Consider the following 13,903-nt stretch of genomic DNA (forward strand, 5'->3'; position numbering starts at 1 on the left):
GGCATGGCTTCAGGAAGAAACTCTTCCACCTCCAATCATCAGGCATTAGATTCTTATAAGGAGCATGCAACCTAGAGCCCTTGTATGCACAGTTCACAATAGGGTTTGGCTTTTCTGAGACTCTAATGCCGCTGGTGATCTGACAGGTAGTGGAGCTCAGGCAGTAATACTTGCTTGCCCGCCACTCACTTCCTGCTGTGCCGCCCAGTTCCTAACAGGCCTCGGACCAGTACTGGTCCTAACCTGCCCGAAGGTTGGGGACCCCTGGTCTACATAATACTTAATTTTCTGTATTCCTAGGGCTTCAACTTTGATCATTATGCTAACATTTACCAATTCTATCTCTTCCAGCTACTAAATATCACTGCATGTGTGTCCCTGAGAAACCTGAAACTCAAGGTATCCAAAATTAAATTGTCCTTCACGTGCTGCTTCTCCTCCTGCTTGCCATTTTCATCTAATGCCCCCGTTATCTATCAAGGCACCAAAGAATCCAAAACTGAATTAGTTCATTTAAACTTCTAAATAGCTTTAGAAACCCTCACTTCTTCTCCGTCTCATCTGCTTATTCTTCATTAGCTATCTTTATTTAAGAAAATGTGCTGACTGCCTGCTATATCCCAAGCAGTTTTAGTACTGGGAAGTACTGCAGTCAGTAAAAAGGAACAAATCTCATCTCTACAGAGCATATATTTGAATATTCACCCTGAGGAAGAAGGAATTATATAGAAGACATTGAGCAGCATAAAAACCATTTTATTGCTCTAGTTTTCATGATTATCTTTAGAACAATATTTCTTCAATTAATTACACTTGGAATTAGTATGTCTGTTACTTGCTGCACATTAACAAGTGCCAATTACATCTTTCTTCCTAAAATTCACTGTCCAAACTTTTTTGTGACATTGAATCCAGTCCCCTTGCTTAACTTTTATTCTAAGCATCATGTCATTTTATTTTATATTAATTTATTCTTTCTCTGTTGCTCTTTCTTTATGTAGACCCATGTTCTAACCTATATCATTTAATTCTTATTCTAGTTCCTTTATAAGTAAGATCCCTGCCTACCTCGTTTTCTTCAGCTTCTTTCAAAATTTTTCTCTTTGCTTTTCCTTTTATTCAATTTGAATACGATAGGCCTAGGTATAGATATTTTGGAATTAATTCTGTTTGGTGTTCTTTGCACTTCTTGGATCTCTGGTTTCGTGTCAGACATTAATTTGGGGGAAGTTTTTCACCATTATACTTTAAATATTTTGTCTTCTCTGTGTTGTTTTTCTTCTACTTTTGGAATTCCAATTACACATATATTTTACCTTTTGGAACTGCCCCACAGTTCTTGGGTGCTCTCTCCTAGTGTGTGTGTATGTGTGTGTGTGTGTGTGGTGTCATGTATGAGTGTGTGTTTCATCCTTTTGTTTTTGAATTTCAGTTTGGGAAGTTTCTTATGACCTTTCAAGCTCACTAAATCTTTCCTGAACTATGTTCATTCTACTGATGATTCCAGCAGAAGGCATAATTCATTTCTTTTATTGTGGTTTTCATGTATAACATTTCCTTTTTATTCTTAGAGTTTCCATCTTTCTGATTATAATATCCATCTGTTCTTGCCTGCTGTCTACTTTTTCCATGGGAACCCTTAACACATTAACCATAGATATTTTAAATGTGCAGTCTGATAATTCAAACATCTGTGCCATATCTGAGTCTGGTTCTGATTACTGCTTTGTCTTGTCATACTGTGTATTTTTTTTTCTTGCCTTTCTCAGGCCTTGTGGCTTTTTTGTTGAAAGCCAGACATGTATGATCAGATAATAGGATCTGAAATAAATAGACATTTATCTGAATACGGCTAAGAGTTTGGTTATGCTTAATGTTTGCAGTAGTTGTAGGTGCCAGAGACTTCAAATTCTTACAGTATCCTTGTTTTTACCTCTCCTGTTGTCTTTCAGGTTTCCTACCTACTCCTTCTCAAAGGGAGCCTATAATTTGGAGCTTTTTAGCTATATTGCACTGTTATTATAGGGAAGCTGTGTTTCTCTAGGGGTAATACTTGGGGAAGAGGAAATATTCCATAACCTTATGATTAAATATCAGGCTTTTAGAAGGCCTGTATACTGGACTGTGACCTTCACAAGTGTTTCTTACCTTTTTTTCTCCTCAGTTGATGCAGGAAGTCTAGAGGGGGCTAGAGTATGAAGAATGCCCCCTCTCCAGGGAGATAATTCTCTGATAAGGCCCTTTCTACTGAAGAGTAGGTCTTTATTATGAAGAATGATCTGGGTATATTTCATAGTGATTAGTCTTCTCTTACCCTTACCATAGCCAGCAGGGAATCTTTCTTAGTTCTTCAACCTAAGAGGTGAATGGGGTTCCTAGAGGTAAAACCCAAGAGAGTGTGGGGACCTCATCAGACTGTAGTTCCTATGAGTTTCTCACATTCATGCTAGTCTACACTCAGCCTCCAGCAACTCATCAAAATTATCATTTCGTGTTTCTGTCAATTTATGGCCCCAGAGTCTTCTGTTCCATGTAAGCAGGATTTTGACTGTGATTCTCTCGATTCACATGTTCCCCCAGATTTGGAGGTGATGATTTGCCCTGCAATTTCAGTTCTCTGATGGGGTCAAGAAAAGTCATTGGTTTTCCATTTCTTCAGCTCTTTTTCTTATTGTAAGGGCAACAGAGATGACTTCCAAACTATTTACACTTTAAAATTAGAAGTCAAGAAGATTCATAACAGAGACTTACTGAATCCTATTAAAGATTACATTGACAACAAAAGATTCAGTGTAATTAAAAATGAGAAACAGGGCAGACTCCAGAGAAAGTGAACCTTTTGGCGCTGCCTCTCACATTTCAAAAATCCTAGCTAAACCAGAATCATTTTTTTTAAGCAGAGAAATTGAGATGCAGGAGAAGATTGTTTCAAGATCCAAATGCCAAAATTCACACTGTCAACATTTATTGCTTTACTTTAACTTTCTGCTCACCTTCCTTCCCTTGTTCCTCTTGCTTCTTTCTTATGGCCAGAATGGACTGGCATTTCTAGATGTGACTTGATTGTATTATGTTTCCTATCTTAGTTGAACAGCATCAATATCTTCAATTCTTAGGCTTCAAATTAGAGAACCATCTTCATCTCTTGTTTATAACCTCACTCAAAATTTTCCGCCAAGTTCCTTTGTTATAATTTGACTCCATTTTTGATGTTTGACCACTGTGTTTCCAAATCCCATTTCTCCTCTTGTCCCACAGCTGGGAAAGCCAATAAGGAAGCCCTCACTCTTCCTCCCTTGCCACTGGCAGGAAGTTGTTTAAACCATGCACATGGAAACTCTTATAGGCTGCCTTTAATGACAATAAAAACAAAGCCCTTCATTTTGCTCAAGCTTTTGTGCCTGTCCTGCTGTCACTGGTAGTACCATTATGTGAGCTTTTCATACCCTCTTGATATATGCATGCTGTCATCAGTCTAGGCATATGAACCAATTTTGTTGTGAGGGGAGTGAGCAACCACCAAATACCTTTCCTTTTTATCTTTTCAAATCTTTCTCCCATCTGATATCTCCTCTTGGGTCCTTGAAGGCAAAACTCTTTAATGCTCCGATTCCTCTGTTCCCATTGTCCCTTTAACACAATTCAATGAGACTTTCATCCCACCTCCCCACAGAATCTCTTCTTGCCAATGTCAGCAAAATTCTTCAGATTCTTTGGGATTCCAAGGTCAATTTTTGGAATTCCTGTTTGAATTATCAGCAGCATTTGATTCAGTTAATTACTCTCCCCACTTTGAAATTTTTTTTTTCCTGCTGGCTTCTAAGACAGCCTAATTTATTAGTGTCCCCTACCTCACTGGTGCTTCTTCTCAGTCTCTTTTAATTGTTCCTCTGCATCTTCCTAACTTCTTAATGTTGGAATGCCCTATGTTTTAGTCCTTAGATATCTCCTCTTTTCTGTCAACATCAATCCCTTGGTGATATCATCTATGAACTGAGAACAGCCAAATTTCTGTCTCAAGAGTGACCTCTCTCCTAAACTCCAGTTGTAGGATTCAAATTCCTACTCACCATCCCTACTTAGAGGCCCTAATATCCTTTTCAAATTTAACTGTTCAAAACTGAACTCCTGATATTCTTCTCCCCCATTTTCTCTACCTGCATCCTGTCCTTCTCACTTAATAGCCACTTCATCCTCTTTATTTCTCATATGTCACACCAAATTATTGGAAGATTCTGTTGTCTCTATTTTCAGAATGTTTCCAGACACTAATACTTCTCAATACATCCACTGCTACCACACTGAACCAAAGCATTATGATACGACAACTGGATTATTACAATACTTTCCTGACTGCTCTCTCTCTTCTACCCCCGACACCCATAGTCTATCAACATAGTAGTCAGTGTGATTCTATTACAACATAAAGCATGTTGTGTCTCCACTGCTCAAAACTTTCCATTGGTTTTCTATTGCAATTAGAGCAAAAGCCAAAGTTCTTAAAAGAACCTACAAAGTTCTCAAAAGAACCTACAAAGTTCTCAAAAGAACCTACAAAGTTCTCAATAATCTGGCATCCCACGGTCAATATGACCAAATTCTCTAATATTCCTCCCATTTCTCCCCCCAGTCCAGCTGCACTGACCTCCTTGCCTTTCCTGGGACATGCAAGACACACTTCCAGGCTTCAGTATTTCCACTGGCATTATCCTCTGCCAGGAATAACATTCTGTCAGACAACTCCATGTCTTGAATCCTCATTTCCTTTTTTTTTATTTTATTATTATTATTTTACTTTAAGTTTTAGGGTACATGTGCACAATGTGCAGGTTAGTTACATATGTATACATGTGCCATGCTGGTGTGCTGCACCCATCAACTCGTCATTTAGCATTAGGTATATCTCCTAAAGCTATCTCTCCCCCTTCCCCCCACCCCACAACAGTCCCCAGAGTGTGATGTTCCCCTTCCTGTGTCCATGTGTTCTCATTGTTCACTTCCCACCTATGAGTGAGAATAGGAGGTGTTTGGTTTTTTGTTCTTGCGATAGTTTACTGAGAATGATGGTTTCCAATTTCATCCATGTCCCTACAAAGGACATGAACTCATCATTTTTTATGGCTGCATAGTATTCCATGGTGTATATGTGCCACATTTTCTTAATCCAGTCTATCATTGATGGACATTTGGGTTGGTTCCAAGTCTTTGCTATTGTGAACAGTGCCGCAATAAACATACGTGTGCATGTGTCTTTATAGCAGCATGATTTATAGTCCTTTGGGTATATACTCAGTAATGGGATGGCTGGGTCAAATGGTATTTCTAGTTCTAGATCCCTGAGGAATCACCACATTGACTTCCACAAGGGTTGAACTAGTTTACAGTCCCACCAACAGTGTAAAAGTGTTCCTATTTCTCCACATCCTCTCCAGCACCTGTTGTTTCCTGACTTTTTAATGATTGCCATTCTAACTGGTGTGAGATGGTATCTCATTGTGGTTTTGATTTGCATTTCTCTGATGGCCAGTGATGGTGAGCATTTTTTCATGTGTTTTTTGGCTGCATAAATGTCTTCTTTTGAGAAGTGTCTGTTCATGTCCTTCGCCCACTTTTTGATGGGGTTTTTTTTTTTTTTCTTGTAAATTTGTTTGAGTTCATTGTAGATTCTGGAAATTAGCCCTTTGTCAGATGAGTAGGTTGTGAAAATTTTCTCCCATTTTGTAGGTTGCCTGTTCACTCTGATGGTAGTTTTTTTTGCTGTGCAGCTCTTTAGTTTAATTAGATCCCATTTGTCAATTTTGGCTTTTGTTGCCATTGCTTTTGGTGTTTTAGACATGAAGTCCTTGCCCATGCCTATGTCCTGAATGGTAGACAAACCTGAGAAAAACAAGCAATGGGGAAAGGATTCCCTATTTAATAAATGGTGCTGGGAAAACTGGCTAGCCATATGTAGAAAGCTGAAACTGGATCCCTTCCTTATACTTTATACAAAAATTAATTCAAGATGGATTAAAGACTTAAACGTTAGACCTAAAACCATAAAAACCCTAGAAGAAAAGCTAGGAATCCTCGTTTCCTTTAAAGTGTCTAAACCATTGCTTTCTCAGTAAAGTTCTCACAAATCACCTTATTTAACCTCTTCTTCTACTAGATACGTCCTGTTCTCTGTTTGTTTGTTTTTTTCGACAAAGTACTTGAGACTCTCTAACATACATATATTAATATTTAATTAAAGTGTTTGCTTTTTGTCTCACACTAATAGAATACATCATTTCCAAGAATAAAAATGTTTTATTTTTCTGTTTTGTTTTCTGCCATATCCACAATACCTAGAATAATACCTGATTTGTAGCAAGCACTCAGTAAATTTTTGTTCCATCTCTGAATCTTCTTCTTTCTTCCAATTCTCATTGCTAGTATTTTTTGACTTAAGCCTTCATCACCTCTTTCTCAGTTTCTTGTAACTATCTTCTAACTTGTTTCCCTGTGTTAAGTTTCAAACTCCTAAAACTCATCATTTTCTAAAGTGATCTTTCTAAAGCATATCTTTGCTCATACTTCTGTGCTCAAAAATCTTCACTGAGGCCAGGCACGGTGGCTTACGCCTGTAGTGCCAGCACTTTGAGAGGCTGAGGCAGGCAGATCACTAAAGGCCAGTAGTTCAAGACCAGCCTGGCCAACATTGGCAGAACCCCGTCTCTACCAAAAATACAAAAATTAGCTGTGTGTGGTGGCGTACACTTGTAATCCCAGCTACTCAGGAGGCTAAGGCAGGAGAATTGCTTGAACCCAGGAGGTAGAGGTTGCAGTGAGGCAAGATTGTGTCACTGCGCTCCAGCCTGAGTGACAGAAGGAGACTCCACATCAAGAAAAAAAAAATTCATTGTCTCCCACTATCAAATATCGAAGATAGTTTTTTCTAAATATTGGAGTGTTACAACATCACACTTGATTCTTCACCCTACAGTTTCCAAGGTCCTATCCAAAACTTTGTTAATACAAATCTAAAAAACGAGGCCATTGTACCTAAAATGTTTTAAAATAAAATAAAACATGATTAAAGGCACTAGTCATTTCAAGGATCACAAACCCAGAAGTCTTAGGAAAGCCTCCCAGTTAATTTAGAAATCTGGCCTTAACTTACCTTTCCAGTCTTCACTCTGTCTCTTTCATTTTATCCACTCAATGCGTAAGACAGTGTAGACAGCTAACTAATGTGTGGCCTTAGATTACAGAAATAAATTGTTACATATGGGAAAGTATGTGACCTGGTTAAGAGAAACTACAAGAAAGAGTTTGTTATTCTGGGGATGACAAGTCATCTACGATTTTTAAAATTTAATCTGTTTAACTAAATGGCTAACTCTAAATGAATAGCTAGGTGAAAAATATTCCATTTGGTGAAAAAGCATGTTCTCATTACAAATTTTGGTTATGGTCAATATCGAAGATTTAAACCAACTTAATTTAAAACTATCTTAAAAAGTTTCTTTAATGAGAGACTTTTCTTATTTGGTATAATACATTACACTTGATCATCAATCACTATATAATTGAATTGTAAATTGTGAAAAGTTCAAGTGACAAAGTATATTATCAGTTTTCATCCATTTCTTCCATTATTGAAAATTGGTTGTTAACATAAATGTAAAGCTTAATTTCAAGATGGGAAAATCTACATATTTCTAAATTTGAAACATTCTATAATAAATAGAAAAACATTTAATAAGGGATCCATAACCAAATAATACTAGATGACATTAGTAGTTGTAAACATAAAGGTTTAAATTTTTCATTTTATAGATAGAATTATTACAGTTATAACATATTATTGTTATGAAGTATAAAGGTAAGCTATTCATCATAAATCTCAAGGCACTTCTAATGGACTGAATATATTTGATTTCTCCTAGAAAATCCTGTTTACTTCCCTCTATATCAAATACTATTTTACTACAAGAAATGTTTTGCTTCCTCAGTGGGCCTGTGCTCTGTTCCTATTGTGTGTGATTTCATTATTTTATATATTTAAATTTTAATCCCATTCCTAAAAGGCTATTTATTTCCCCTTTAGTATTCTCTCTGTAACATGAGTACTCCCTCAGCACATGAATCACTGGTTTTACTTATAATATGATGACCCAACCAGTCCGGCTTCCTCTAAGAATGCTTTAAAAAAATTATTTGCCTATGATATACACCTAGCCTTCATATTTTAACTCTACTAAGTCAGAATCCCTGGAAAAAAGACTATTCCATATAACATGTGCCTCTGTGATATCTGACCAAAGATGATTAAGAAACGCACAAACCATTGGCCTGAGACAATTCTACCCACAGGCTAAGCCACCCATTAAATTTCTTTCCTAGGAATTTGGAATTTAAGTACAGATACTGACAGACTGAGATATAGTTTAGCAAAACGGGAAGAAAAGCAGACAAAGCAGGAACATGTAAGTGAAAATGAAGTCAGAGAAATTAGAGAGAAGCCCTGAAGAACCAGTTGTTGATCACCAGAAGCTACTCCAGTTCTTGATTTTCTAAGGCCAAGTATTTCAGTTTTTGTGGATTTCTATGGGATTTTTGTATCTTTTCTCTGTGTTTGGTTAAGCTTGATTGGATTTCTGTTCCTGATCAACCAAAGAAAGGATGTCAGAGTCTAAAAATCATGTATTCAATTATTCTGTTGTGTTTGTATGTAAAATTTGTGTTAATTTTCCTGATTTATGTTTTTGCATATTTTGTAATTTTATTTTTCAAAAATAGAATTCATTATATTTAATTAAGCTGAAGAGAAATATTAAACAACACAATGAATGTAAGCAGTAATTTTGCTATTTTTCATTTTTGTTTATTTTTTATTTTGGTTTTATTTTTAGTTATTTTTTATTGCTTTTCCTTAAAAGAGCATCTTATGGTATTATTTGGTGCATTAAATGTTAATTTCTTTTTAAAGAAAGTCAGAATTTCTCCCTGACTTGGAAGTAAAGGGTTTGGTTCATATGCCAAATTCTCTATGGTTTATGTATCTTTTAATTAATCAATGGCTGGAAGTAGCATAATTGCAAAGCCTACATCACAATTAACAAGCACCAAGTGATAGCCATGATCATTGAAAACACAGGACAGTTGACCCTTGAACAAAATAGGTTTGAACTGCACAGGTCCACTTACACCCAGATTTTTTTCAACCAAACAAAGATTGTAAATATAATACACATGTATGTAAAACCTGTGTATAACAGAGGGTCATCTTTTCATATATGTGGGTTCCGTAGGGCCAACTGTGAACTTGAGTATGCACGAATTTTGGTATTCGCAGGAGTTCTAGAACTGATTCCTATCGATACTGAGGGATGACTGTACTCAGAAAAAGAATAAATCTTACTTAATAATCAAACCCTGAAGTGAAACTTTTCTTGACATCTTGAATGCTTGAGCAGCCCCTCTTGAAGCAAGAATATTGCAAAGTAGTCTGATTTGTTTTAAAATTATTAACAACTTGACTGGAAATACAATCTCACACCCAGCAAATTCATATAAAGAAGCAGAAGGTAAAATATAGGGTAATCAAAGCAAATGTCTACATGGTGCTAAATATCTGGATATTTAAAGTTAAGCAAAAAAGCATCTAATTAGGCCGGGCGCAGTGGCTTATGCCTGTAATTCCAGCATTTTGGGAGGCTGAGGCAGGCAGATCACTTGAGGCCAGGAGTTTGAGACCAGCCTGGCAACACAGCAAAACCCCGTCTCTACTAAAAAAAATACAAAAATTAGCCGGGTGTGGTGGTGCGTGCCTCTAATTCCAGCTACTCTGGAGGCTGAGGCAGAAAAGTTGATTGAACCTGGGAGATGGAAGTTGCAATGAGCCGAAATCGTGCCACTGCAATGCAGCCTGGGCAACAGAGTGAGACTCTGTCTCAGAAAAAAAAAGCATCTAATTAAATAATCAACAATGGCATTTTCTATTCAGAGTGTTATATAAAATAAATTTCCTCGTGCACAAATTTTAGAAAATAATTACTAAAAATATCTAGACAGCTCTGCTGTTTTGCTCATTTACTCTTATGTATATTGTTTCAACTATCACTCAAAGCAAGTTGTTCTCAACATGTAGTCCCTGGACCAGCTGAATTATTATCACCCAGGTACTAGGTAGGAATTAAAATTCTTGGTCTCTACCCCAAACTTACTAAATCTATACCAAATGTAGGAACTATGGGTGGAGTTCAGAAATTTTTTTTTTTTTTAATTTTTTTTTGAGACGGGAGTCTCGCTCTGTCGCCCAGGCTGGAGTACAGTGGTGCGATCTCGGCTCACTGCAAGCTCCGCCTCCCGGGTTCACGCCATTCTCCCGCCTCAGCCTCCCGAGTAGCTGGGACGACAGGCACCCGCCACCACACCCGGCTAGTTTTTTGTAGTTTTAGTAGAGATGGGGTTTCACTGTGTTAACCAGGATGGTCTCCATCTCCTGACGTCGTGATCAGCCTGCCTCGGCCTCCCAAAGTGCTGGGATTACAGGCGTGAGCCACAGCTCCCAGCCGAGTTCAGGAATTTTTAACAAACCTTCCAGAGATTATAATGCAGCTAACCTTTGAGGAATATTGCTCTAAGAGAAAGATTGCAAAGTAACTCACATTGTGCCAAGAGGTAGAAAAATCCAGTAACTTACAATGTAACACACAGCCGTACTAAACAATGGCATCACCATCCCATCACCCCAAAAGTTATTTATTTGAAGTCCATATGATGTGAACATCTTTCTAGATTGGGTGCTTCTTAAATGCATAATTCAGAAGGTTGCTTTACACACCATATCTATGTGATTGACTTCCTCTGTAGATGTGGATAGTAGAGTCAGGATGAAAAAACACTGTGCATCTTCTGCTAGGAGCACTTTGTGAGCTCCATTTTTCTCCAATATGCATATGCATGAGGCAGGGCACAGCACTAAAAACAGCAACAACACTGTGATAAACAGAAAATGTGTGTTATCAGTTTATTCTTATTTCAAAATCTTTAATTTTGAATACGCACATATTAATTTGTGTTCAGATCTTCTCTTAAGGATGCATGCTGTGTGTGTGGTCCTAATATATGGATTTACTGAAAGTTCTTTTCTTTCTTTTATAAACACTTGATAAGATCAGTAAAAAAATTTTCTAGTGACTCTTTATTCTTTTCCAGGGGGTATTTTTAAAAAATAATCTTAACTTGAGGGAGTGGTTATTTGAGTACATTACAAACATCTAGTATACAAACCAGCCTTGAAATTTCTACTTTCTCTCAATAACAGTTTGGTAGGGACGGGATTTGGCTGCAGTATCCAGCACTCCATATGTTTGATTTCGAATATTTTCCATGTTGTCACTATTTTTTCACAGATGCACAGATGAAAGGCAAAGTAGATTAAGCTGCCATAAAATACTAAACTGTATTTTACAACAACTGCATGATGACTACCAATGAATGCCTACTGAAAACTCTCATGGGCAGGTTTGTTTTTTTGTTTGTTTGTTTGTGTTTTTTGCCTTTATATCTAGGTGGCAAAGAAAGAAAGGGCTGGAAGCATCTCAGAAGTCATTCAGTGTATTATCCTGTCTCTAATGAAGCCTAGATTTTGATCCACTGAAAAAGAATGTAAATTTATCCTTTTGCTTTGAAGTGCACAAAAAGTAAAACTTTAAAACATTCCAGTTTAAAAGTCTTTAATTTGATTTAACACCTATTGATTACCTATGCCAAATACATACATACAAAAAAAAAATGTCATGGTCCCTGCCCTTAAAATTTTCATAGTGGCCCCAAAGCATACTTAGTTAAAAACAACAAATGTCAAATGCTTTACTCATTAAAGAGTACTTCACAACGTTCCTGTGAGACAGTTATTGTATTATCCTCATTTACAGAAGAGGAAGTCAATTTTTCCAAAGACACATAACTAAGTGTGCAGAGTTAAGATTAACATCAAAGTAATTCTAAAGCCCATTCTCATTCCACGGCACCATGTTTCCATTTAACTGATGCCATGTCTGTTCCTGATAGTCACAGAGGGTCTTTGAGCAGTGATTTGGGACTGCACACTAAAATGAGACAGAAACAACTATAAGGTGTGTCTTCCTCTCCAAAGATGACTTCTGGAGGAAAACAGTCTAACACATTTGCAGAAAATGTACGCAGTTTTATAATCTAGTCCAGTAAAAGCATAATCTAACCCATCTAAAGCATGATCTAATCCAATCTACCTCCTGAACTCAATGCAGACATTGCTAATCAACCCCAGAACATCTGAATGTAGCCCTAGGTACTTTCTTCACAAAGAGCTGACAGTGGCCATTACCAAATCTTTAGAGTTAACGTATCAAATGAAAACTGCTTGTTATGTTTCCTCTATTGTAAACCTTATTTCCCCAGGAGTAGAGTAATACTGAGTATACTATAAATCCTTAATGAAACATTTGGTACTATAAAAATATCAAGTTACATGGCATCTAGAATTTATTCTCAATTAACCAGCTTTATTTTGTTGTAGAAGAAAATGATAATAGTTTCACAAAATGTATTATTCATATAAATTTCTAATTATGAGTTTTTTTTCTGATTTTAATAACTCTCTTCTTTTTTGTACTAGTGTAATTAATTTTAACAGGGGATTAAACCAGAAGTTAGGCCACATCAGATTGAGTCACAAGTGGAAGGTTTTGAAGAAGAGGTGTTGTGTATACCTTACTCAATTTAGAAGCTTTAGTCTAAAACTGCTTATTTGGGCCAGGCACGGTGGCTCATGCCTGTAATCCCAACAATTTGGGAGGCCGAAGTGGGTGGATCACTTGAGGTCTGGAGTTCAAGACCAGGCTGGCCAACATGGTGAAACCCCGTCTCTACTAAAAAATATAAAAATTAGCTGGGCATGGTGATGGATGCCTGCAATCCCAGCTACTCACGAGGCTGAGGCAAGGACAATTGCTTGAACCCAGGAGGCAGAAGTTTCAGTGAGCCAAGATCATGCCATTGCACTCCAGCCTGGGGGACACAGCGAGACTCCATTTGGGGAAAAAAATAAATAAATAAAATAAAACTGTTTATTTGGAGGTAAAGGCCCATGAAAAAGGGTGTGAATTCATTAAAAAGTAATCAAATGCAAGAAATGCCATATTTTAAATGAAATTATCCTAGCTTGGAGTGTTCAGCCACTAAGATGGCAGAATGTCTAAGCATTTGGGGAGCTCCATCATTTCTCCTTAAGATTTTATAAGAATATTGAGGCCTAGTTTGTTTCAGGAACATGGGAGACAGCATAGAGTATGTAGCTGCCTAATGTTGATTCATAAATCCTGGATGAGCCGTGTTCTTTCTGGTGAACCACAGAGATGCCTCTAAAGCTTTAACCCAGTGTCGTTCATAAAGAAACCTTCATCACTGCTCTCACAGCCACAGTGTCCATGGACCAACTTCCATAGGTATTTTGTAGCCTTCCCCCATTGAACTCTTGTCACACTGCAGGAGATGGAGAACAGATTTCTACCATCTCTCAATTCTCACAGTATGAGAACCTCACCGTTTCCCAGATCAGGCTACCTCCAACCTGTTCTCTCTGCCTCTAACTCTAAAGAGCAGTGCTATCCAATCCAGTGGCCATTAGCTCCATATAGCTATTGAGCACCATGAAAATGTAGCCAGTCTGAATTAGGTATTCTGTAGGTATAAAAATCATACTGTGTGTCAAACATTTCATATGAAAGGAAGAACTTAAAGTACTTGCATTAATAATTTTTACACTGACTACGTATTGAAACAATATTTTAGATATATTAACTAAAATCTATTATTAAGATTATTTTCACTCTTTTTACTTTAAAAAATACAGCTATAAAATAATTAAAATTGTAAGTGTGGCTCACAT

At 37.1% G+C, this 13,903-nt stretch overlaps 1 annotated feature.

Moving 5' to 3' along the window:
* Positions 12,678–12,892: a silencer, noted in NCBI's record as "fragment chr4:46687601-46687815 (GRCh37/hg19 assembly coordinates)". NCBI's record gives its function as "represses an EF-1alpha promoter that drives an FKBP-Casp9 reporter gene in an ReSE screen in K562 erythroleukemia cells {active_cell/tissue: K562}" and the evidence as "EXISTENCE:reporter gene assay evidence [ECO:0000049][PMID:32094911]".

The sequence above is a fragment of the Homo sapiens genome, chromosome 4, assembly GCF_000001405.40.
Source record: "Homo sapiens chromosome 4, GRCh38.p14 Primary Assembly".
In the NCBI taxonomy this organism is placed as follows: domain Eukaryota; kingdom Metazoa; phylum Chordata; class Mammalia; order Primates; family Hominidae; genus Homo; species Homo sapiens.